The sequence below is a fragment of the Homo sapiens genome, chromosome 7, assembly GCF_000001405.40.
Source record: "Homo sapiens chromosome 7, GRCh38.p14 Primary Assembly".
NCBI classification, from domain to species: domain Eukaryota; kingdom Metazoa; phylum Chordata; class Mammalia; order Primates; family Hominidae; genus Homo; species Homo sapiens.
Genome location: NC_000007.14, coordinates 4,696,392 through 4,721,057, shown reverse-complemented (window position 1 = coordinate 4,721,057; position 24,666 = coordinate 4,696,392). Strand labels below are relative to the sequence as shown.

The 24,666-nt window shown below is 50.5% G+C and overlaps 1 protein-coding gene across 1 annotated transcript in view, besides 9 other annotated features; it reads right to left on the bottom strand.

Moving 5' to 3' along the window:
- FOXK1 (forkhead box K1) overlaps nucleotides 1-24,666 on the bottom strand; it is an 89,148-nt gene that overhangs the window by 50,385 nt on the left and 14,097 nt on the right. The gene's annotated exons all lie outside the window — the stretch shown is intronic.
- Nucleotides 9,258-9,790: an enhancer, noted in NCBI's record as "H3K4me1 hESC enhancer chr7:4750899-4751431 (GRCh37/hg19 assembly coordinates)". NCBI's record gives its function as "activates a minimal SCP1, AML or CMV promoter by ChIP-STARR-seq in naive H9 embryonic stem cells {active_cell/tissue: H9 hESC(naive)}" and the evidence as "EXISTENCE:reporter gene assay evidence [ECO:0000049][PMID:30033119]".
- Nucleotides 11,112-11,752: an enhancer, noted in NCBI's record as "H3K4me1 hESC enhancer chr7:4748937-4749577 (GRCh37/hg19 assembly coordinates)". NCBI's record gives its function as "activates a minimal SCP1, AML or CMV promoter by ChIP-STARR-seq in primed H9 embryonic stem cells {active_cell/tissue: H9 hESC(primed)}" and the evidence as "EXISTENCE:reporter gene assay evidence [ECO:0000049][PMID:30033119]".
- Nucleotides 12,395-13,036: an enhancer, noted in NCBI's record as "OCT4-NANOG-H3K27ac-H3K4me1 hESC enhancer chr7:4747653-4748294 (GRCh37/hg19 assembly coordinates)". NCBI's record gives its function as "activates a minimal SCP1, AML or CMV promoter by ChIP-STARR-seq in naive H9 embryonic stem cells {active_cell/tissue: H9 hESC(naive)}" and the evidence as "EXISTENCE:reporter gene assay evidence [ECO:0000049][PMID:30033119]".
- Nucleotides 13,037-13,678: an enhancer, noted in NCBI's record as "OCT4-NANOG-H3K27ac-H3K4me1 hESC enhancer chr7:4747011-4747652 (GRCh37/hg19 assembly coordinates)". NCBI's record gives its function as "activates a minimal SCP1, AML or CMV promoter by ChIP-STARR-seq in naive and primed H9 embryonic stem cells {active_cell/tissue: H9 hESC(naive and primed)}" and the evidence as "EXISTENCE:reporter gene assay evidence [ECO:0000049][PMID:30033119]".
- Nucleotides 13,679-14,320: an enhancer, noted in NCBI's record as "OCT4-NANOG-H3K27ac-H3K4me1 hESC enhancer chr7:4746369-4747010 (GRCh37/hg19 assembly coordinates)". NCBI's record gives its function as "activates a minimal SCP1, AML or CMV promoter by ChIP-STARR-seq in primed H9 embryonic stem cells {active_cell/tissue: H9 hESC(primed)}" and the evidence as "EXISTENCE:reporter gene assay evidence [ECO:0000049][PMID:30033119]".
- Nucleotides 14,321-14,962: an enhancer, noted in NCBI's record as "NANOG-H3K27ac-H3K4me1 hESC enhancer chr7:4745727-4746368 (GRCh37/hg19 assembly coordinates)". NCBI's record gives its function as "activates a minimal SCP1, AML or CMV promoter by ChIP-STARR-seq in naive H9 embryonic stem cells {active_cell/tissue: H9 hESC(naive)}" and the evidence as "EXISTENCE:reporter gene assay evidence [ECO:0000049][PMID:30033119]".
- Nucleotides 15,605-16,246: an enhancer, noted in NCBI's record as "H3K27ac-H3K4me1 hESC enhancer chr7:4744443-4745084 (GRCh37/hg19 assembly coordinates)". NCBI's record gives its function as "activates a minimal SCP1, AML or CMV promoter by ChIP-STARR-seq in primed H9 embryonic stem cells {active_cell/tissue: H9 hESC(primed)}" and the evidence as "EXISTENCE:reporter gene assay evidence [ECO:0000049][PMID:30033119]".
- Nucleotides 17,847-18,606: an enhancer, noted in NCBI's record as "H3K4me1 hESC enhancer chr7:4742083-4742842 (GRCh37/hg19 assembly coordinates)". NCBI's record gives its function as "activates a minimal SCP1, AML or CMV promoter by ChIP-STARR-seq in naive H9 embryonic stem cells {active_cell/tissue: H9 hESC(naive)}" and the evidence as "EXISTENCE:reporter gene assay evidence [ECO:0000049][PMID:30033119]".
- Nucleotides 20,957-21,457: an enhancer, noted in NCBI's record as "H3K4me1 hESC enhancer chr7:4739232-4739732 (GRCh37/hg19 assembly coordinates)". NCBI's record gives its function as "activates a minimal SCP1, AML or CMV promoter by ChIP-STARR-seq in primed H9 embryonic stem cells {active_cell/tissue: H9 hESC(primed)}" and the evidence as "EXISTENCE:reporter gene assay evidence [ECO:0000049][PMID:30033119]".

Below are 24,666 nucleotides of genomic sequence, written 5' to 3'. Positions count from 1 at the left end.
AAAACTACAAAACTTAACTGAAAGACAAAAAAGACCTAGGTAAAAAGCTAAATTTGGGAGGCCGAGGTGGGCGGATCACATAAGGTCAGGAGTTCGAGACCAGCCTGACTAACACGTGTGTTGAGTTTTTTTTTTCTTTTATGGATCCCCGTCTATACTAAAAATACAAAAATTAAGTGGGCGTGGTGGTGCATGTCTCTAATTCCAGGTGCTCAGGAGGCTGAGGCAGGAGAATCGCTTGAACCCAGGAGGTAGAGGTTGCAGTGAGCCAAGATCGCGCCACTGCACCGAGATCGCGCCATTGCACTCCACCCTGGGCAACAGAGACTCTGTCTCAAAAAAAAAAAAAGTAAAAAGCTAGGCACGCAGCATACAAAGCCAGTTTCCAACAGGTCTGCCTAATTCTCAGGAAGCATCTGCCTGCTCGGGAGAGATGGGGCTGAGGCTGGAGTCTCCCCGGCCTGGCTCTGCCAGCATCGAAGTTGGCCACAGGCTGCCCATCCCCACTGAGGCACAGGGGAAATTTTACATCTAAAAAGTACAGCAGCTGAAATGAAACCTCAATGAATGGGCTCACACAGAATGAAAAAGCCATAGGAAAGAAATCAGCGAGCTTGAAGCTGAAACAGTAAAGATTACCCAACCTGAACAACAGAGAAAAAGAGGCTGAAAATCAAATCTTAAGAGTCTCAGGGACACACTAGACCATACATAACAAAAGCTCTCCCATGCATGTCACTGAATCCCAGAAGAAGAACAGAAAGCAGATGAGGCAAAAAACCCTCAAAGAAATAATGGCTGAAAAATGTACAGATTTGGTCAGAATGATAAACCTACAGACTGAAGATGAGTGAGCCCCATGCAGGATGAACCCGAAGAAACTCAACCAGGCTTCTGAAAACCAGAAACAAGGCAGCCAGGGAGAAACCAATGAGGGAAAAACTATTCAAATTTCAAAAAATCCTTCAGGACCTGGGGCTTGGTGAAGAGTTCTTAGCCATGACACCAAAAACAGGATCTATAAAAGAAAAAGAAAAAACTCAACACATCGGACGTCATCAAAACGTAAAGCTCTGGATGGGCGCAGGCGTCCAATGAGAGGATAAAGAGGTCACAAGCTGGGAGAAGAGACTCCTATCTAGAATACAGGAAAAACTCAAAATTCAGTATAAAAACCAAACAATTCAATTAGAACGAGGACAAAACACACGAGGAGGTATTTCACTGAAGAGGCTCTGCAGATGGTAAATAAGCACATGAAGAGATGTTCAATGCAGGCCGGGCGCGGTGGCTCAAACCTGTAATCCCAGCACCTTGAGAGGCCAAAGCGGGTGGATCACCTGAGGTCAGGAGTTCGAGACCAGCCTGGCCAACATGGTGAAACCCCATCTCTACTAAAAATACAAAAATTAGATGGGCATGGTGGCGTGTGCCTGTAGTCCCAGCTACTCAGGAAGCTGAGGCAGGAGAATTGCTTGAACCCAGGAGGCAAAGGTTGCAGTGAGCCAAGGTCTCGCCACTGCACTCCAGCCTGGGTGATGGAGTGAGATTCTGTCAAAAAAATATGTGCAGTGTAGTTAGCTATTAGGGAAACACAAAGCTAAGACAGCTACCTACTCCCTAGGCACCGTGGCTCACACCTGTAATCCCAGCACGTTGGGAGGCAGAGGCGGGAGGATCATTTGAGGCTGAGTTTGCAACCAGCCTGGACAACACAGCAAGACCTCATCTCTATTAAAAGAATCTTTTTTTAAAATTAGCCAGGCATAGTGGTGCACGCTTGTAGTCCCAGCTACTCGGGAGGCTGAGTCAGGAGGAACACTTGAGCCCAGGAGTTCAAGGCGGCAGTGAGCCATGATTGTGCCATCGCACTCCAGCTGGGCAACAGAGTGAGACCCTGTCTCAAAAACAAACAAACAAAACAAACAAAAAAAAAACAAAAAAAACAAGGTTGGGTGTGGTGGCTCATGCCTGTAATCCCAGCACTTTGGGAGGCCAAGGTGGGTGGATCACCTGAGGTTGGGAGTTCGAGATCAGACTGACCAACATGGTGCAACCCCGTCTCTACTAAAAATACAAAATTAGCCGGGCGTGGTGGCGGGTCCCTCTAATCCTAACTACTCGGGAGGCTGGGGCAGGAGAATCGCTTGAACCCCGGAGGCGGAGGCTGTGGGGAGCCGAGATTGTGCCACTGCACTCCAGCCTGGGTGACAAGAGTGAAACTCCGTCTCAAACAAACAAACAAAAAAACAAAAGCTACATACCTATCAGAATGGCTAAAATTAAAACAAATACAGCAAATGCTGGTGAGGCTGCAGAGACACTGGGCTTCTCATACATGGGTGGAAGGAAGGTAAAATATGGCAGCCACTCTGAAAGCGAGGTCGGCAGTTGCTTTAAAAACAAAACCTATGCCAAGGACAGGCCTTAGGCACTGCACTCCCGGGTACTCACCCTGACGAGGGAAACCTAGGTCCGCTCAAAACCTAAGCATGGTTGCTCACAGCAGCTATTGTATTTGTAGTAGGCCGAAAAATGGAAAAACTAATGTACTTCAGTAGACAGGGGGTCAAACAAACAGGGGAACCTCCACCCAGTGGCATCTCAGCAATAAAAAGGAATCCACTCCTGAGGCCCACAACTCAGAAAGACGGCCCTGAGCTGCGGACGAGCCCGCTTCTGAAACCTTCTCATAACGACAGGCCTGCAGCCATGGAGACGCATTTACTGGTTTCCAGGGTTACAATGGCTGCGTGGCCGCCACGGTGGGGATGGCTCTGCGTGGTGACCGAGGTGGCGGTCGCAGAGCCACACGGGATGAGATGACGGAACCACACACAGCGCACCGATGCCAACTTCCCGGCTGTGATGCTGATGGACGCGTCGGAGGAGGCTGGTGGGCTGTGCAGGGACCTCTGCAACACGTCTGCTGCTCCTTGTGAATCTGTGATTGTTTCCAAATGGAAAGTGTGTCCATGGAGCTGGTGGGAACACGGGCAACAGGGCCCCCAGAGGCAGCGACCCCCACTTTCCTTTCCTTCAACACTGAAATGGCACACAGGGGGAGTAAAAAACCATAAACCAGGGTCTGTGGACATTTATCAGGAAGAAAACGTGACGAGGCAAAAATGCTTAATATTCTCCCACTTTTACAATAGAAAACCATCACCCAATCTGAGACCAGAGCCCAAAGACGCGGGCAACACACGGCGGTGGTCGGTCTTCACCTGGAGCATGGACTAGTGTGTTTGTAACTAAACATACACGGTGCAGCAAAGCTTCAGAAGAAACAGCATTTAGAGGCAGGGTTCAAGCGCCTCCTCGTGCAGATGAAGCTGCAATGCTCAGAGAGACAAGGAGGCCACCAGGACCAGGCGGGCAGTGAGGTCAGGTGCAGGGAAGGGCCCTGCCTCTGGGGCTAGGGTGGAGTACCTCCCGTCATGCGCTTCACAGACACTTGCCTTACAGCTACGCAGCCCAGACACTTGCTTCCCAGCCATGCACGTCCTGCCACTGCCTCCCAGCCACGTGCCTCCCAGCCAGGCACCTCCCAGCCATACGCCTCCCAGCCACATGCCTCCCAGCCACATGCCTCCCAGCCACACACCTCCCAGTCATGCACCTCCCACCACCACCTTCCATCCACACACCTCCCGCTACCACCTTCCAGCCATATGCCTCCCGCCACCATCTTCCAGCCACATGCCTCCCAGCCACACACCTCCCCAGTCACGCACCTCCCGCCACCACCTTCCATCCACACGCCTCCTGCTACCACCTTCCAGCCATATGCCTCCCGCCACCACCTTCCAGCCACATGCCTCTCGCCACCACCTTCCAGCCACATGCCTCCCAGCCACACACCTCCCAGTCATGCACCTCCCACCATCACCTTCCATCCACACGCCTCCCGCTACCACCTTCCAGCCATATGCCTTCCCAGCCACGCACCTCTCAACCACGTGCCTCCCGCCACCACATTCCAGCCACACGCCTCCCAGCCACCTCCCAGCCACGTGCCTCCCAGCCACACGCCTCCCACCACTACCTTCCAGCCACGCGCCTCCCAGCCACCACCTCCCAGCCACACGCCTCCCAGCCATGCGCCTCCCACCACGTACAACTTGCCCTTCACCTGGGGATGTGCTGCACATACAAGCCAGACACAAACCAACCAATTTTAATCTCTATTAAGATAAAGAAAAATCAAGCAATCAGCTTAAAATAGTTCATAAAATGAAAACTTGTAGACATCTGTTTTGTGACGCCTATGTAAGCCAGCTCCAAACCAGTAAAATGGAGACACCCACAGCCCCTCTCACACAGCTTCCAAGGAGCACCTCCACCCGGAACCTGCTGTGCCCTCACTGGCCTCTGTACTCACCCGCTTCCAAGAGCAGCACTGGGTCTTGAGAAGGACCCAGGCTCAGGCTCTGGCCCTGCCCGTGGCCACAGCAGGCCACAGTGACATGTCTGGGGCCCCTCCCACTGTACTGGCTTTTTGGAGGTGGCCCATTCTGCTGGTTTGTATTTCTTTTCTCTTTTTTTTTGGGACACAGGGCCTTGCTGTGTCACGCAGGCTAGAGAGCAGTGGTGCCATCATAGCTTACGGCAGCCCTGAACTCCCAGGCTCAAGTGATCCTCCTGCCTTAGCCTCCCAAGTAGTTGGGGCTATGGGTGCATGCCACCACATCCAGCTGACCACAACAAAATTTTTTTTTGTAGAAACAGGGTCTTGCTATGTTACCCAGGCTGGTCTTGAACTCCTGGCTTCAAGTGAACCTCCACCTTGAAGTCTGTATTTCTTTCTTTCTTTTTTTTTTTTTTGTAGATAGGGTCTTGTTCTGTTGCACATGTTGCACAGGCTGGAGTGCAGAGGCGCAATCTCAACTCACTGTAGCCTCTGCCTTCTGGATTCAAGCAATTCTCCTGCCTCAGCCTCCCAGGTAGCTGGGATTTCAGGCACCCACCACCACGCCTGTCTAATTTGTAGAGACAGGGTTTCATCATATTGGCCAAACTGGTCTTGAACTCCTTACCTCAAGTGATCTGCCCACCTTGGCCTCCCAAAGTGCTGGGATTACAGGCGTGAACCACTGCGCCTGACTGAGGTCTGCATTTTTGATCCTTTAAGCACAGACAGCAGATATTGGTGGCCAATGTTGAAGTTCAGCAACGGCCATCCTGTGACCAGTGGCTGGAAGGATTGTCTTGTGAGTTTTGCTTTTCCTACATTTCTTTAAGTATTCAAAGAGCCGGCTGTGGATGGGAGCGCTCTTCGGTGGATTCGCTGTGAGGGAACCTCAGGGTGCCCGGAGCTGGCTTGGCCAATGACAACCAATCTAACGGCGTGCACTACAGACTGACTTGACAAGCCCAGGTTCCTGCCAGTCAGTCACAGCAGGGAACAAAAGGGATGGCCGCAAGAACTCGCCAAGTTCCGTATTTCACAACACCAGAGCATTTCAAAATATCCTATTCATTCATTCTAAACTTGGCTCTGCTTAAGTGGAAAGCTGACTGCTGATAGATGAAGAGCTTCTCAGAGCTCGGGCATTCCAGCTCCTACCGCCGGCCAGCGGGGCCCGAGTTCCAGCCAACCCCCTAGAAGGAGGGAGGCAGGGCAAGGATGGGTGCACAGACGATCTGGACCACCGTGCGATCCCATTCCTGTACACGGGCCACCCACAGCTGAGCGCCCTGAACACTTGGGCTTGATCCTATCGGCTTCACTCTGAGACACACTTTGCCAGCAAACTGAAGCCATGACTTACGATCTCTCCTTGAAACAAAACACCATGCACCGTATCACAATTTCGCCATGCCCGATATCATCACAGTTCCACCGTGCCCCGTATCGCCACAGTTCCACCGTGCCCCGTATCGTCACAGTTCCACCATGTACCGTATCACAATTCCACCGTGCACTATATCACAATTCCAGCTGCACTGGCTTTGAATATTTTCTGTACTAAAGCCGTGAAACTCATCTGATCAGAAAAGCTACGCCCCAAGCCTATGTAACCTCTGATTGTCGCTGGTGTGTGGCTTCTGTTCTGTACCAAGAAAAAGATGCAGAACCACGTTACAACAAGACACTCCCTGAATACACACAACTCCACGTGCACGCAGACTTCCCAAAAGCACACAAAAGCATGATGCTCATCGCAGCTCTCTGGAGAAATCGGACTCAGGTGGACAAAACATCTGGGTTTTATGCCCTTCCTTTGCAAGACGCTGGGAACTGATTCTCTAAGGAGGGAAACTGAGATGAGAGAGAGGAAAAAAAACCAAAACAAAATTTTTAACCGCATACCTTTTGAGTTTTGAACCGCGGGAATGTAACGCCTACTTAGAAAATACGTAAGCCAAAATCCTTAAGATGAGCCTTGAAAAAACAAAGCAAAGCAAGCACGCACTCCTACTTTGACACACAAAAGTAATGTCTTTAAACCTAAACTTTTCCTTTCAAAGTGAAAAGAGGGGCCAGGCTGGTGGCTCACGCCCGTAATCCCAACACTCTGGGAGGCGGAGGTGGGCGGATAGCTTGAGCTCAGGAGTTGGAGACCAGCTTGGGCAATGTGGCGAAACCCGGTCTCTACTAAACAAAAATTAGCCGGGCATGGGGGCACACGCCTGTAATCCCAGCTACTCGGGAGGCTGAGGCAAGAGAATCACTTGAACCCCAGAAGTGGAGGCTGCAGTGAGCTGAGATCGCGCCATTGCACTCCAGCCTGGGTGACACAGCGAGACTGTCTCAACAAACAAACAGACACACACAGTGAAAATAGGGTCAACATGAAAAGATGATCTCTGTTCTCTCCTTGTTCTGTCTTGTAAAGGTGACAAGATTTGGGAGTTACGGGCCAGTTTTCAGGGCTCAAAAATAGACAACTTTAAAAACCATCTTAAAGATGGGTAAGAAATCAAGAGGCTGGGCACAGTGGCTGACATCTGTAATCCCAGCACTCTGGGAAGCTGAGGTGGGTGGATCACCCGAGGTCAGGAGTTCAAGACCAGCCTGACCAACACAGTGAAACCTCGTCTCTACTAAATACAAAAAATTAGCCGGACGTGGTGGCGCATGCTTGTAATCCCAGCTACTTGGGAGGCTGAGGCAGGAGAAATCACGTGAACTCGGGAGGTGGAGGTTGCAGTGAGCCAAGACTACGCCACTGCACTCCAGCCTGGGCAACAAGAGCAAAACTCTGTCTCCAAAAAAAGAAAAGAAAAAAAGAAAAAAAGAAAAAACTCAAAAGAAAACACGGGGCTGGGTGCGGTGGCTCACGCCTGTAATCCCAACACTTTGAGCGGCCAAGGCGGGCAGATCACGAGGTCAGGAGTCGGAGACCAGCCTGACCAACACAGTGAAACCCTGTCTCTACTAACATTACAAAAATTAGCTGGGCGTGGTGGCACGTGCTTGTAATCCCAGCAACTCGGGAGGCTAAGGCAGGAGAATCACTTGCACCCAGGAGGGGGAGGTTGTGGTGAGCCGAGATCGCGCCACTGCACTCCAGCCTGGCGACAGAGCAAGACTCCGCCTCAAAAAAAAAACAAAAAAAAAAACACGGTGGTTATGCAAATTCTCTTGTTTAGGGAGCTGACCTCGCAGGGCTTTCCCGGCCCAGAAGCTGCAGTGGCTGCACCGTGGTCTAATTCTTTCTCTGCCTTCGTTTTTTCCGCGACACCAAGCCCAGTGAGCGGGAATCCCAGTGAGCGGGAATCTCAGTGAGCGGGAATCCCAGCCCGCCCCAACCCCAGAGCCTAGCTTGGGGCCTGGCACAGAGCACTGTTACGATCAGTACAGAAAAGAAATAATAATTTTCAACGACTTTAAAATTACACAATGGGCTGTGACCACAGCTATGAACTTTGTTGACTATTTCAAAATGTAAGTAACTAGCAAATTAATAGGGCAGGAAAAGAATTCTTTTTTCAAGCCACAAATGTACTTGGATTAAATGACCTGAACCAAAGTTATCTATGAGCTCCAGATGTGGAGTTATCGGCCTAAGGGGGCCAGGAAGAAGGCATGCCCCCTTTGCTGGCACTGGTCATTATCGCCCCTCTTTAATGTATTTTAAAAATGAAATCTCGTTTGGAGTTCTGCAGAAGTCACAGAGCTCTGAGCACGATTTAAAAATAAATGTCACCTCTTGTCAACTGGAAATAAACAGAACAGAGAGCAATGATTCATCCCCTACCACTCCATCCTCATCACGCCGCTGTGTGTCAATAAACCCTGCCCTGGCTGTTTGAGCAGTATTTAATCATAAACGGATTTGAACACACTCTGCAGCATAAACAGAACCAAGTATCTCCTATCTGAGAGGGCAACAGATGAGCGAGGTAAGAGGATCGGAAACCCTTGAGGTGTAAAATGAGAAGCCTGATCGCTGGTACACTTAAAGACAAACATGACCAGTCTTTTCGAGACTGCAATAATACACCCAGAATTCAGAGAGCGGTGGTTTGATTCTAACAACTCTCCGTGTTCCTTCTCAAATAAGCGCGCGGGGCAGGACAAATGGGTTCAGCTGCCTCTGAGAAGTGTTTATGCCTTGATGGTAAATAATCAGACTGAAACTAACACGTCTCCTTTCCCTTCTCAATTATGATGACGTAAGGCGAAAGGCGTCTGAATGCGGAGCCTTCACTCCAAGGAACGGTCAATCCTCAGTTGGGGTTCTTCAAGACCACCGGCAATCAATACCAATTTACAGCCCTTTTTACATTCCCTTTAAAGCAGCCGCATTTATGGAGACAGGAACCAAGTGCCGGAGTAAATCGTTTCCAAGTCCATTACTGCACCGAGGCGGGAGATGCTCTTGGTGAAGTCTGACACGTCGAACGTCTCACCCCAGGGAGGCGACCATCGGGGAAGGGAAACGATGCTTGGATTTCATCTCAACCCTACTCCCCATCTTATGGTATAAAGGCAAATAAGCTGTCACAATTAGATGATGGATAAAAAGTGAGAGACTGATAAAAAAAAAAAAGCACAGATGATCCACCTCTGAATATCAAAGAATCTGAACTTCCAGCTTCGGACTTGGTGGGCTCTGTGACCTGCCGCGTCCTCCCTCCTGCTCGGCGGCACCTGCCCTCTGCCCCTCCCCCGGAGTCCCTGCCCCATCTCAACCTTGAGTCATAGTCCATCAAGTTCTGCCTCAGCTCCAGGCCCAGCTCACAGGTCCCCCGCCTTGACACCGGCCGGCCGCAATCTTTTCTCTCTGACCTTGCGTTGCTTCTCTACGGTCCGTGGCATCTGCCCTGGAGGCACTACGTTGCCGACTTGTGGCTGAGCCCAGCCTGGTGGGTGACACAGAGCTGGCCTCCTGACAAGACACGGCAGCACCACTGCCCACCCCTTATGGGTGATGCAGATACGAGAGGGTATGACGCCCTTAGTAATTATTCTCACTACCGCCCATCCACACAATGCCGAGGAGTGGCACTCTTGAGACCCACTCTGATCTCCCCATCCAACTGCTCTAGGAGCTTCTGCCAGTTCTCCAGTGGCCATGGGATGGGGCACACCTCTTCACACTCTTCACTTGCCAAGACGTCTGAGGGCCACTGAGAAAGTCACATCTTCCTTAACTCCAGATCTCTCCCTCCTCAACATCCAGGAATCACTCCAGGGAGAGCTGGCGGCTGGCTGGGACCCACCCCCGGACTGCCACACCCTCTCACAGGAAGCCCTTCCACTCTGGGCGTGTTTATTACTGCGCCCAGCCTCCCTGACTGATACATCCCATGGACGCTTCCCAGGACACTCAGCCTTCCCACCCTGTGAAAACACCCCCAGGTGTCGGGACCCAGGAGGGCACACCAGCACAACGCTTCCTGAACAGAGCTGGGCACATGCTGCCCGGGGCAAGGCATCAGGAACGGACATCATGCTTGAGTAGAAGAAGTCAGAGAGACTAAGTAGGATCCAGGCCCAGCTTGGCCCTGCACAGCTGATGGACAGCCGTCTCCATCCATCTCCATCTTCTCTAAGCGTTCTCTAAAGCCAGGCTGCTCTGCAACTCCGTGAAGCTCAGGCACCGTGATGGGGCTTCCCAGAACCCAGTGGCTAGGACGGTGTCGACAGGTAATGCGGACAGACACATCTCTACCCAGAAGGAACTACACAGACGAGGAGAAGGAACAAGAGTCACAACAAGCTGAAAACAAATGGGAAAAATCCACGACGTGGAATGGCTGTAATTCTCAGTGGTGGGAACTGGTGGCTCCAGCTGAGCTCAGCTTCTATGAACAGTATCGTGGCCCGTGCAGACCAGCCCAGAACCTGCACCGCTGGGGCTGCAGAGCCACCACCGCACCCTCGCCCTGAATGTGACCCTCCCTTCCAAAGCAAGAACATGCCCTTGTGGTCCCACAAGGAGCAGAAGGCCATACACCCGGCTGCACCCATTTCTCCAAAATACACAGCTATTTATTATCATTATTATGTATTTCTTTATTTATTTTTGAGATGGAGTCTCACTCTGTTGCCCAAGCTGGAGTGCAGTGGCGCGATTGAGGCTCACTGCAACCTCCACCTCCTGGCTTCAAGCGATTCTCCTGCCTCGGCCTCCGGAGGAGCTGGGATTACAGGCACCCCTCACCACGCCCAGCTAATTTTTGTATTTTTAGTAGAGACGGGGTTTCACCATGTTGGCCAGGCTGGCCTTGAACTCCTGACCTCAGGTGATCCGCCTGCAAACTCCTGGGCTCAAGCAATCCTCCTGCCTTAGCCTCCCAAGGTGCTGGGATTACAGGCGTGAGCCAGTACACTGGCCTATCCTGTACTTTCTGAGACCTCTGTTATCTTAGAAAGGAAGCAGGCATTTGTGTTGTTTGCGACTGAGGAAACTGAGGCTTAGAGCAGATGAACTACTCGTCCAAAGTCATCAAAACAGTCAGTCACAGATTCTATTTAAGTGCCAACCTTCTCATTCAGATGAGGAAACCAAGAAACTGAATTTTGTGAAATTTTTTGACACTACAATTAAAACCGTAAGAAGAAGTGGCGCTGAACTAACTGACCGCCACACAATTTAACGTTTAAAAATCATGGATTTTGCCTGTTCTTCTACCCCTTCACGCGGGAACAATGTTAACGCCTAACACACAGGCTTCCGTGTTCTTCCGTGTTCAAACGTGTCACGCGTTGTTCTAAGTGAACTCATTCGATCCTCTCTCCCTCCTTGGAGGTGGGGATGGCTTTTGGACCTATTTTACAGACAGTGAACTGCTGGCTGAACAGCGAGAAGACGGACAGCACATCGTGAGGTCACTCAACGCCAAGAATTATCATGACACTGTGGAACTTCACTGCTCCAGGGTCCAAACCAATGGCGTAAAACGCAATTTGACGTTTTGTATCATGTGAATTACGCTTTACTGCGGCAAAACCAGTTCATGATTTTAACAAAGTTAAAATCTTCTGCAACCTCCCCTTTTCTAGCAGACCACACAGGCCTGCTGCGAAGCCAACTGTGCACAGGGCTCCCGGAGAAGGTCCGCCTGCCCCGGTCACGGGCCAGCCTCGATCTGCCAGCAGGGGTCGCGGGCCAGCAGGGGTGGGCCAGCCTCGATCTGCTCGGAGACATCGAGTCCAGATAAGCAGCCTATGTGGACTGTGCGCTTGGGAAGAGCCTGGCCCTGTCCAGACCCTGAGAATGGAAGCGGAAGCCAGGCTCGTGGACGCAGCAACGTGACACTGGGAAGGAGGCACAGTAGGCGGCCTCACGCTGACCTGGCCTAACAAGGAGGGATCCCGGACAGATCCAAAACATGCAGTGGGATTCTCGGGATGACAGGGTGGGGATGCCAGGCAGCAAATAGCGTGGGTAAGGCACGGGGGTATCCTGGGGCCTCGGGCCCCCAGTGTGCACAGCAACAGCTAGGCGAGGCTTCCAGGAACTACATTTTCCCACCAGCCTCTTTTCTTTTTTCCTTGTTTTTCTTTTTCTTTTCTTTTCTTTTTTTTTTTTTTTTGAGACAGAGTCTCGCTCATTGCCCAGGCTGGAGTGCAGTGGGGCGATCTTGGCTCACTGCAACCTCCACCTCTCGGATTCAGGCAATTCTCCTGCCTCAGTCTCCCGAGTAGCTGGGACTACAGGCACACGCCATCACGCCCAGCTAATTTCTGTATTTTTAGTAGAGACGGGGTCTCACTATGTTGACCAGGATGGTCTTGAACTCCTGACCTCAGGTGATCCGCCCGCCTCAGCCTCCCAAAGTGCTGGGATTACAGGCGTGAGCCACCAAGCCCGGCCTTACCAGCCTCTTTTCTAAAAGCAGCACTTGACGGCCACCAATATCCAACCAGGCTCTGAGAAGCTGGCAGGAATGAAGTTCACCCCAGGCTGGGAGCCCCAGGAAGGGAACAGCCTCCCGCCTGCTGCAGCCACAAAAACACCAGGGAGAACTCTCCTTACCAGGCCACACACAAGTTTATACCATTCGGGGCAAATTGCTATACTTTTATGATATCAATTTCTTAAACTTGGTCATCTTTAGTTCTTGTTCTGCCATGTAAAATTCCACCCTAACCCTGGAGAGAGACTTTGGATAACTGAAGGTCAAGTTAGAGTTTAACCTAATCAACCTTTCCCAAGGAAGTGGTCTCTTCCCAAGATCCACTCTGATTTACCTTCGGGTGAGCTTCCCCCGACCAGCAGCCCTGGATGAAGGAGGCCGGATCCCGATCCACGGGGGCTTCCAGTTTTCCTAAGGGCGGCTGGGGTCACTGCGGCAACTAGGTCATGTTTACAAAGCATCGGGGACTCATTTTTAGAGACCTCTCTGCCAGCCAGGATAAAAACTGAACCCAAACAAAGCCACACAGCATCAGCACCAAAATCAGCATCTGAAAAAGCCTTTATTTGGTGGAAGACTCGGGCCCTTCAAAGAGCACATTCCAAGCACTCCTGGAGGGCGGGGCGGGTTCCAGGCTGGGAAAAGGAACTGGTCTCATCCTTCCAGTTCACTCCCCACCAGTTACTAGGCGGTACCCCAGCACCAGGGCACTCTCTCCCTCCACATTTACTCAGATTTCAGAAAACAGGTGAAAACAGGCTGAGCGCAGTGGCTCATGGGTGTAATCCCAGCACTTTGGGAGGCTGAGGAGGGTGGATCACTTGGGGCAGGAGTTCGTGACCAGCCTGGCCAACATGGTGAAACCCCATCTCTACTAAAAATACAAAAATTAGCCGGACACGGTGGCGGGCCCTATCATCCCAGCTACTTGGGGGGCTGAGGTAGGAGAATTGCTTGAACCCAGGAGGCGGAGGTTGCAGAGAGCCACGATCGTGCCACTGCACTCCAGCCTGGGCAACGGAGAGAGAGTCCGTCTCAAAAAAAAAAAAAGTGAAATGGAGTACTGGTCGCACACGCATGAATCAGATACGAATGGCACCGGGGAACACGCCAACTGCAAAGACCCAGTGAGGCAGCCTTCTCCAGGAAAACCCGGAAAGGAAGGCGTAAGAGACAATTCACCGACTCCCACACCCACCCTCTCGCTGCTGCAGATACTTGAGTCGCTAAATACATCTTAACACTACCAAGGCGAAATTATCCATTTGGGGAAACTGGGTCATAAAGTAGATTAATAACACGGAAAGCCCGCCCAGGGAGAGGCCTGCTTTCAGCAGCATTGCCGGATGTACTAAACTAGCTTAATTGTTATGTAAATTGCACTCTCCGTCCCATCTGTTTATCCCGGATGGCCCATTCATCACAAGAGTTTTCCCTGAAATAAGCACTGAGCCAGACCTGCTCTTTACCAGCGTCCCCTCCACCAGAACACCACCCCGAACGCCCTGAGCTCCCCGCACCTCTTCCCTCTCCGTTAGTGTTTGGGCAATGTCTGTGTCCACCGCACCAGGGGTGGTAACAAAGAGGGCAACGTAACATCATGGGAAACCCGGAGGGGAGACATCGCTGCTTCTCTAAGACTGGAAGGTGGCCATTACGGACAAAGGCAGGAAGCAACCGTTAGTTTTTAGTCTTTTATTTTAAGAAGAAAATGCAATGGAATTCAATTAGGGCATGAAGTAGGTAAGTTATTTCCTGCACAAGGGTAGAGGGAAGTGGCCCGGAAGTCTAGGGCACAGCCCTCCTTGGAGAAGGAACTCAGAAGTCCCGGGGGGAGGTGAGAGGGAGAAGGCACAGGCCGACCCAGCAGTTCCAGGCTACAGGGGCATTGGGGGTCGGCATCCGGGCGGCCAAGGAAGGTCAGCCCAACTCCGGGGTCAGCGATGACCTGGCTGATACTGACAAAGGAAATCATGCCTCATTCACATAGCTTTCGAACGTTTCACCCTGTACGTGTCTTTCACGAGGATGATGAAGACCTCCTTTACATTTCTGCACTCCGAAAACAATTCAGACAGAACTGTAAATCACATTTTGCTTTTTGGTGACTGTTGGCATTACCTCATCCAGCTGGTGGGGTGGGTGTCAGGATTCTGCCCACATTGAGGAAGGGTGGAGAGGTTCCTTCTTGATAGGAGGGAACCACAGACACCCAGCCATGCTGCTTGGGACTGTCTCCGATGGGCCCCCAACTGTCAGCATCCACAGCCCCACCCCACTCTAGGGCCAGAGGCCTGCATTCCTGGAACTTCCCTGACCACCTCCCCTTGCTGTTTAGCTGGAGGGAAGGAGTGTCACAGATATAAACTCCTAACTTAGGGTGCCAGAGCACTTTACCCACTTAAACAGATCATTCACAGAAAAGGGGTATTTTATTTTAAGTATTTAAGCCCCTAACCAGTTGTGATTCTGATCAGCAGCCGTTGTGAATATGCAAATACAAGGTTTCAGCCAAGTCCCTGCTATAGATCTCTTTAAATGGAAACAGGAGGAAAACGCGCTGAAATGACGTTCGCTGTTACCTTTGTGGAGAGTTCTATGTGGCTTTTCTCCTGCTCGCATTTCTGTATTTTTCAATTTTCTATAAGCATGGATTGCATATATACATATATACACATATATATACATATATACACGTATATACACGTATATACACGTATATATACGTATATATACGTATATATACGTATATATACGTATATATACGTATATATATATACATATATATATATAATTTTGAAAGTTGGAAATGATATAGTTTATATAGATATATAACCTAAAAGCTGAGCTCTTAAAATCGGCTTTCTTTTAAAATTGGTTCCTACAAAAAGAAATGACACGTGAAGGCCGGGGCAGTGGCTCACACATGTAATCCCACTTTGAGAGGCTGAGGCGGGGGGGGGTCACGAGGTTGGGAGATCGAGACCATCCTGGCCAATGTGGTGAAACCCCCTCTCTACTAAAAATACAAAAATTAGCCGGGCATGGTGGCACAAGCCTGTATAGTCCCAGCTGCTTGGGAGGCTGAGGCAGGAGAATTGCTTCAATGCGGGAAGCAGAGGTTGCCGTGAACAGACATTGCGCCAGTGTACTCCAGCCTGGCGACGAGAGAGCGAGAGCGAGAGAGAGAGAGAGAGAGAGAGAGAGAGAGAGAGAGAGAGAAAGAGAAGGAAATGACACAGAAGAATTCTCACTTAAGGCCAGGCATGATTGCTTATGCCTGTAATCCCAGCACTGCGGGAGGCCAAGGTGGGAGGATCGCTTGAGCCCACGAGTTCAAGACCAGCCTGGGCAACATACCAAGACCCTGTCTTTACAAAAAAAAGTTGGCCAGGGTGATGGCATGCGCCTGTAGTCCCAGCTACTGGGGAGGCTGAGGTGGGAAGATGGCTTGAGCCCAGGAGTTTGAGGCTGCAGTGAGCTGTGATCATGCCACTGCCCCCAGCCTGGGTAACAGAGTGAGATCTTGTCTCTAATAACAGCAACAAAACAATAAAATTCTGACTTTAAAAAATTGGAGAATGTAGACTGATGAAAAATAAACTTTTAGGCCAGGTGCAGTGGCTCATGCTGTAATCCCAGTACTTTGGGAGGCTGCTGCGGGCAGATCACCTGAGGTCAGGAGTTCGAGACCAGCCTGGCCAACAGGGTGAAACCCTGTCTCTACTAAAAATACAAAAGTTAGCCGGGCGTGGTGGCATGTGCCTGTAGTCCCAGCTACTCGGGAGGCTGAGGCAGGAGAATCACTTGAACCAGGGAGGTGGAGGTTGCAGTGAGCTGAGTTCATGCCACTGCACTCCAGCCTGGGTGACAGAGCCAGACTTTTTCTCAAAAAAAAAAAAAAAGAATGAAACATAGATTGGTTTGGGAGGCTGGCTCGAGGCCAGGAGTTTGAGACCAGCCTGGGCAACACAGTGAGGTTCTATCTCTACAGAAACAACAGAAGAAAAAAAATTTAAAAAGTATAACTACAGATGGGCCCGTGATCCGAGCACAGCCTGACGCTGCTGTCACTGATGTCAGCCTTGCCTAGCACACAGGGCAATCCCTCCTGCTGCGTGCTGCGTGGATCCCAGCTTAGCTTATCCAGTTCCGAAATAGGGAAAACATTTATTCACAAAGTACCCGGTAATCCTTTGAGCATTTTTTTTTTTAATTTTTGAAAAATATTTATTTGTGTTTTGATGAAAGGAATGTTTCCTTTTCTTTTCTTTTTTTTTTTTTTTTTTGAGACAGAGTCTCACTCTGTTGCCCAGGCTGGAGTGCAGTGGCGTGATCTCAGCTCACTACAATCTTCACCTTCTGAGTTCAAGTGATTCTCCTGCCTCAGCCACCCGAGTAGCTGGGATTACAGGCGTGCCCCACTACGCCCGACTAATTTTTGTGTTTTTAGTAGAAACGAGGTTTTACCACATTGGCCAGGCTGGTCTCAAACTCCTGACCTCAAGTGATCCACCTGCCTCAGCCTCCCAAAGTGCTGGAATTACAGGTGTGCGCCACCACGCCCGGCCAGGGATGTTTCTTAGCAATGCATTTTAAAAAATCTTTCACCTTTAAATGAAAAATGTCCATAGTGTACCCTTGGTAGACCCTTTCGGTGTGGCTACTGGCAGACGCTACCAGGGTTAGACACTGATCGGAAGCCTCACCATGAGTAATTCATTCCCAAGTTATTTTGTTAAGCATGCGGTAGCCAGTTTTCCACACGTAGGGGTACGTATACACGCATTTTTTCCCACCAGGTTTGGTTTTCTGTATTTATAGTGACTGGGAGTATTTAGCCTTCATGGTCATAATGTAATGTGACTGCCATATGTTACTTTTCTCCCTTCCCCAGATTAAATCATGGTTAGGGGAGTCTCTCTAAAGCTCTCGGCAGGCTGCGATTCCCTTTTCACCTACTTTTATCTAGTCACGATGCTCTGAAAGTGCCTCCGGAGCACTGAAGGGCCTCCTGGTCGCCCGAGCAGCGCTATGTCAATTGCATGGCGCACCAGTCCCCAGCTGCAGCTCTACCCGGGATCATTTGGTTTTAATATTCAAGCTTTTAGTTTTGCCAGATATAAAAACAATTCTTAATGATGTTCTGTCCCCAACCCTAAGATGAGCAAAATGTACCCAAGTCTCCTGGGCACCTTCAACTTGTTGTGGCTCTTTCCCTCCCGCGCAGCAGGGTCGGGCCACCCTGGGGGAGCCTTGTGGGGCGAGGACACCAGGACCCTGCCCTGTGCTGGACGCCACCAGCCCTGCAGACGCGGGTTCTCCGCATGTCTTGGGGCCACGAACTTCAGCGAGTTGTCCTCCCATCCCCTGAGAGCCAGGCTGTCACAACGCCCTACCCACTCCATGTCCTAAATGCTCTGCCCCCTCGGGTCCTCCCCCTCCCTCCCCTCACCCCAGAGCGGAGAGGCCCAATGGCTGGAGGTCTGTCTCCCTGACTCCTCATTGCCAGCTCCTGCCTGTAACTTAGACCTCGGCTAAAACAGCACTTCCTCAGAAACGCCCTCCCAGCCGCCTGCCCTGGAATCCCCTGAGAGAGCCAGTCTTCCCAGTCCAGCCCAGCCCAGCCCAGCCCCCGACACAGAGGCACTCTCACCCAGCAGTGCAAGCAACCAGGGGTCTCGGTCCCCAACCGGACCTGGCAGGGGGAGCTGAGGACGGCCTTTTAGGTGGAGACACAGGCCAGGAGCTCAGGAGGACGAGCAGGACACGCAGCCCTGGGGACGAGGACAAAGGAACCCAGAACCCGAGCTGGGTAGGGCGGGCAGGCTGGGTCTGTCACCCAGAGGGACACAAGCTTCCATCCCCTCTGGTCAGAGCTGAGAAGAGGAAGGCAGGGGAGGAGGCCAGAGGCCCCGTCAAGGCCCCGTCCAGGATGGGGGGCTACACCCACTAGGGTTACGCATGTCTGATGGCACCAACCTATGAAGCGGTCTTTCCAGAGAAGTGGAAAACACAAACAGGATCATGAAGAAGATGTCACGACACCACTAACGCAAACCTGAAAACTCGCGTGAACTAAACAATGAATGCTGGCCGGGTGCGGTGGCTCATGCCTGTAATCCCAGCACTTTGGGAGGCCAAGGCCGGTGGGATCACCTGAGGTCAGGAGTTTGAGACCAGCCTGGCCAACATGGTGAAACCCTGTCTCTACTAAAAATACAAAAAAATTAGCCAGGCATGGTGGCGCGTGCCTGTAATCCCAGCTACTCCGGAGGCTGAGGCAGGAGAATCACTTGAACCAGGGAGGTAGAGGTTGCAGCGAGCCAAGATTGCACCATTGCACTACAGCCTGGGCGACAGAGTGAGACTCTATCTCAAAAAAAATAAATAAATAAAAAAACCCCACAAACAACAAATGCCTCTTAGATGTCTACGTGTGTATGTGACATACGCGGGAGGTCTAGGGTTAAATTCCTCCAGGAGCTGCCTCTGGAGAAGGGACAGAAACGGGAGGGGAAGGTGGAGGACAGGGGACCTCAATTTTATCTGTCATGTGTCTCTTTAAAAAGGGCTTAAAAACATGACAAAATATGAAAAGCACGGATTCTTAGTGGGTACAATACGATTTGGTTTTGTTGTTGTTGCTTTTTGGGGTTTTTTTTGAGACAGGGTCTTGCTCTGTTGCCTAGGCTGGAGTGCAGTGGTACAGTCACAGCTCACCGCAGCCTCAACCTCCCAGGCTCAGGCGATCTTCTCACCTCAGCCTCCCAAGTAGCTGCGAGTACAGGCAAGCACCACCATGCCCAGATAATTTTTTACTTTTTATTTATTTATATTTATTTTTTGAGACGGAGTCTCGCTTATCGCCCAGGCTGGAGTGCAGTGGCGCGATCTCCGCTCACTGCAAACTCCGCCTCCCAGGTTCCCACCATTCTCCTGCCTCAGCCTCCCGAGTAGCTGGGACTACAGGCGCCCGCCACCATGCCTGGCTAATTTTTTGTATTTTTAGTAGAGACACGGTTTCACCGTGTTAGCCAGGATGGTCTTGATCTCCTGACCCTCATAATCCGCCCGCCTCGACCTCCCAAAGTGCTGGGATTACAGGCGTGAGCCACTGCGCCTGGCCTTTTACTTTTTATTTTTTGCAGGGACAGAATCTTGCTATGTCGCCCAGACTGGTCCCGAACTCCTGAGCTCAAGGGATCCTCCCACCTCAGTCTCCCAAAGTGTTGGGATTACTGGTGTGAGCCACCACGCCCGGTCAATAGTACTTGTTACATATCCTTTGTACTTTTCCACATTTAAAAAAATACCTTAAAATACATACGAATTGGCTGGGCACGGTGGCTAAAACTGGGAACTGTTTTGAGATCAAACCTTCTTATCTCAGTGTCCTCCCTAAGTTTTGGCCAGTCTCTGTACCCAACAAACGTTACTCAAACTAATTCAAGGTAAAACCTGAGTTTGTCTCTTCTAGCCCCCCGTCCTTTGAGCTCCCATTCTCTAGATAAGCAGCTCAGAAAAACACAAGAAAACAAACCCCTGCTGTTTAGCTCTGATCGTGCAGCCTTCACAGCCGCAGGGAGCTTGGAGATAGGAAGCCCGTTCTCCAGCCAGTGCAAGATGCTGCCTAGGAATGACAGCCTTGCTGGTGAGCGGCCGCCCCTGCTGGAACAGGCTGGGGCAGGGAGCTCAGCAGACCTGAGGGCCAGTCTGCTCCACTGTGAGCAGCTCAAAGCACTGCAGTCATTTCCCACTGCCCTGCAACAACCTCCGCTTCTGACATCACAGGATGAATAATACATCCTTGACAGTAACAGCAGCGATGATGGCAGCACAGACGCATGTATGTGGGATGTTTATCTATCAGCACTGTCTATGTGCCAGGCACTGAGGTAAGTACTTGTTTGTTTGTTTTTTGAGACAGGGTCTTGCTCTGTTGCCCAGGCTGCAGTGTAGTGGTGCGATTATAGCTCACTGCAGCCTTGACCTTCTGGGGCTCAAGGGATCCTTCCCCCTCAGCCTCCCGAGTAGCTCGTACCACAGGTGCATGATACCACACCTGGCTAATTTTTGTAATTTTTGTAGAGACGGGGTTTCACCATGTTGCCCAGGCTGGTCTTCAACACCTGGCTTCAAGCGATCCTCCCACCTCGGCCTCCCAAAGTGCTGGGAGGGGACTACAGGTGTAATCCCACTGAGCCACCACATCTGGCCCAGTAAATACTTCTAATGTATCTCTAGTAATTCTCACAATTACTTATGAAAAAGGAAGTGTGCCCACTTTACAGATGGGCAAACAGGAGCTCGGGGTCAATCCACTTGCCCAAGGGCACTCAGCAAAAGCCAGACCTTTAGAAGCTAAGCTAATGGAACTTCTGATCACTTTCTTACACCAGGTTATTTTTGCATTCAGATCTCTCCTATTTGTTTATTCATTTTGCCCACAAATATTTACAAAGTGCCAACTATGTGCCAAGCATATTGGTATGTACTGAGGCTATGCAATAAACAAGAAAAACGTGGTCCTGCCCCAACAAAACTCAGGTGTCTCAGATAAATATAACCACAAACAACGACAGGCCACACAGGGTGCCGTGGGGTGCTGCAGTGCAAGCCAGTGGGACCTAAGCTCAGCCAGGCACCGGGGAAGGCCTCCTGACGGAAATGGCTCTCAGGCAGGCAGAGCAATATTTACTCTGAAACGCTTCACAGGCGTTTCTTTCCAAGCTAGGAACAAGAAGGAGCCCATTATCATGGTACTCGGTCAATGTTATTTGGAGGTCCTAGCCGATTCAACCAGACAACACAAAGAAATGAGATCTAAGATACTGGAACAAAGAGAAGAAGTATTATCTGCACATGAGGATTATGGCCCAGGAAACGCAAGCACATGAATTAAAAAACTGTTACCAGAAATGTAAATGTGACTAGACAGAAAATTAATATTTTAACACTTGTACTGAATCTCAAAAATTACTTAATTACAAAAGAAAAAACACAGCAACTCTTTGGTGGAAAAGCCGGCCAGACAACACCTAAACCAAGTGATCAAAACTAACCCTGTGAGGCCAGGTGCGGTGGCTCATGCCTGTAATCCCGGCACTGTGGAAGCCTGAGGTGGGTGGATCACTTGAGGCCAGGAGTTCGAGACCAGCCTGGCCAACATGGTGAAACCCTGTCTCTACTAAAAATACAAAAATTAGCCCAGCATGGTGGTGGGCACCTGTAATCCCAGCTACTCGGGAGGCTGACACAGGACAATCGCTTGACCTGGGAGGCAGACGCTGCAGTGAGCCGAGATCGTGTCACTGCACTCCGGCCTGGGTGACAGAGTGAGATGTCTCAAAAAAAAAAAAACCTAACCCTGTGGATAAGGACCCCACGAGTCGTGTCACTGCACTCCAGCCTGGGTGACAGAGTGAGACTGTCTCAAAAAAAAAAAAAAAAACTAACCCTGTGGATAAGGACCCCACGAGTCCCACGGCCAAAGATGCTCCACCTGAGTGAAGTTGGGATTTTGTCAAATCGGACAAATGTATGTGGAGAGCCAGCCCAGAACATAACTGGCCTGTTTTTAAAAATGTCAAGGTCAGTAATGACAAAGAAGGGCTGATGAACTGTCCCAGATTCAGATGACTAAAAACACAGGACAACAGCATGCCAAACTCCATCCTGGGCTGGAGCCCCAGCAAGCGACAAAGCACTGCACTGGGCGATACTGGGACAAATGGCAAAAATGGTATGTGGGCCGGGCACAGTGGTGCACGCCTGTAACACCAGCACTTTGAGAGGCCGAGGTGGGTGGATCATTTGAGCCTAGGAGTTTGAGACCAGCCTGGGCAACACAGCAAGACCCCATCTCCATAAAAAATAAAAAGCTAGCTGGGCATGGTAACGCAGGCCTATAGTTCCAGTTACTTGGAAGACTAAGGTGGGAGGATCACCTGAGCTCAGGAGTTTGAGACCAGCCTGGGTAACATGGTGAAACCCCATTTCTAGAAACACACAAAAAAATTAGCAGGGCGTGGTGGCACGTGCCTGTAGTCCCAGCCACTCAGGAGGCTGAGGTGGGAGGATCACTTGAGCCTGGGAGGTCGAGGCTGCAGTGAGCTATGACTGTGCCACTGTACTCCGGCCTGGGTGGCACAGGGAGTCCCTATCTCAAACAACAACAACAACAAAGAGGTACGTGGACTGCACATGAGCTAATCATATGGGATCATCATTAATGTTCCTAAATTTAATAACAGACTGTGATTATGTAAAATATCCTCCACCCCATTTTTGGGTGTCCTGGGGTAGGTGTGAATAAAATATCTTTATTCTTGCATATGGTGAAGCGAGAAAAAAAAAATCCTTATTCTTAGGCAATGCATGTTGTGGTATTAAGAAAAAGGGCACGATATATATATATATATATACACACACATACATATATAAAATCGCACTCTCAGATAACATACATATATAGAGAAAACGCTAAACATGGCAGAGCACTAAAAATGAACAAATCTGGGCAGAGGACATGCAGGAGTTATTTGGACTCATCTTGCAACATTTTTGGAGGCGTGCAACTTTTTCAAAACGTAAAATTTTAATAACAAATTAGGGCTGGGCACAGTGGCTCTCGCCTGTAGTCCCAGCACTTTGGGAGGCCAAGGCAGGAGGATCACTTGAGGTCAGGAGTTCAAGGCCAGCCTGGCCAACATGGTGAAACCCCATCTCTACTAAAAATACAAAAATTAGCCAGGCATGATGGCGCACCCTTGTAATCCCAGCTACTCGGGAGGCTGAGGCAAGAGAATCACTTGAACCCAGGAAGTGGAGGTTACAGTGAGCTGAGATCACGCCACTGCACTCCAGTCTGGATGACAGAGCGAGACTCCATCTCAAAATAAAAAAAAGAAAAAAAAATTAGTTACTATAAAACTCATACCAAAGAAACACACACACACACACACACACACACACACACACACACACACACACACAGCCTATCTTTCCTGTATGTAAACACTAACCTTTAGAAAATAATAAGAAAAAAAGATCCTATTCATATTCCCAAAACCCAGGATTCAACCTGACAAGAAATGTGGAGAGAAATTGGTAATAAAAGGTGCTGATGAACCCAGGTAAACGCACTGATGTGGAAGAGTAGAAGTCTGTGGCCTAAGGCAGGGGTGTGCAGACGGGCCACCAGGCATGGCCAGAAGGAAATAACACAGGCTCTGGGGTCCACATGGTCTCCGGCTCAGCTCAGCAGCCACAGACAGCACTTAACAAATGTGCCTGGTGTGTTCCAATAAAACTTTATTTACAAACACAGGCAGCTGGCAGGGTCTGGCCCACAGGCTGCAGCTGGCTACCCTGATCTGAAAAGTTGGCCGTGAATACCGGCTAGCTGTTCAGCAGGCCACTGTCATCTTCTTCCTGAGCACGTTGCCTTCCCTTGGAGTGGCCGGAGACTGAGCTCTGGTCACTGGCTTGAGTGGAAGTGAGATATGCTACTTCTGGGCCTGGCCTCCCCTGAGCCTCCCTCTTTTCCTCCAGATGCAGACAGCACTGCAGCAGGTGCAGCCGTGCCCAGGCCGCTGGACTCCAGACAGTGCCAGCCTGGGTCCCTGAATCACACCTTAAGGGAGGCATTTTCTTTTTTTTGCTTATTGAGACAGTCTCGCTCTGTCGCCCAGGCTGGAGTGCGGTGGCAGGATGATCTCGGCTCACTGCAACCTCCGCCTCCCGGGTTCAAGGGATTCTCCTGCCTCTGTCTCCCGTGTAGCTGGGACTACAGGAGCACACCACCATGCCTGGCTAATTTTTGTATTTTTAGTAGAGATGGGGTTTCACCATGTTGGCCAGGCTGGTCTCGAACTCCTGGCCTCAAGTGATCCACCCACCTCAGCCTCCCAAAGTGTTAGGATTACAGGCGTGAGCCACAGCACCTGGCCCGAAGGAGGCATTTTCTGCCCACCATTCAGAAACATCTACTGTGGACTTTCCATAGGCAAGGTTTTGGGGTTTATCTATTAGAAGGGCTAGCAGGTTATAGCAGATGACACCTGGAAGTGTGTCTTCACTGGCACTGGGCGAGGCACTGAGAACAAAATGCCTCCCGAAAGAACCAGCCCCTGCCCTCGAGGGACTCGCAGCTTCTGGGAGACGGAGATACCCGGTATTCACACCAACGCTTAATGACCACCCCGCAAGTCCCACGAGCTCAAAGGACGAGTACTCCGAGGGCTTATTAAGCAAAGGCTACCTGGTACAACCGTGTGACGGGTAGACGACAGACATGTCACGCGCACACACCTGCTTATCAAGGAAATTACAAATCTGGAAGGA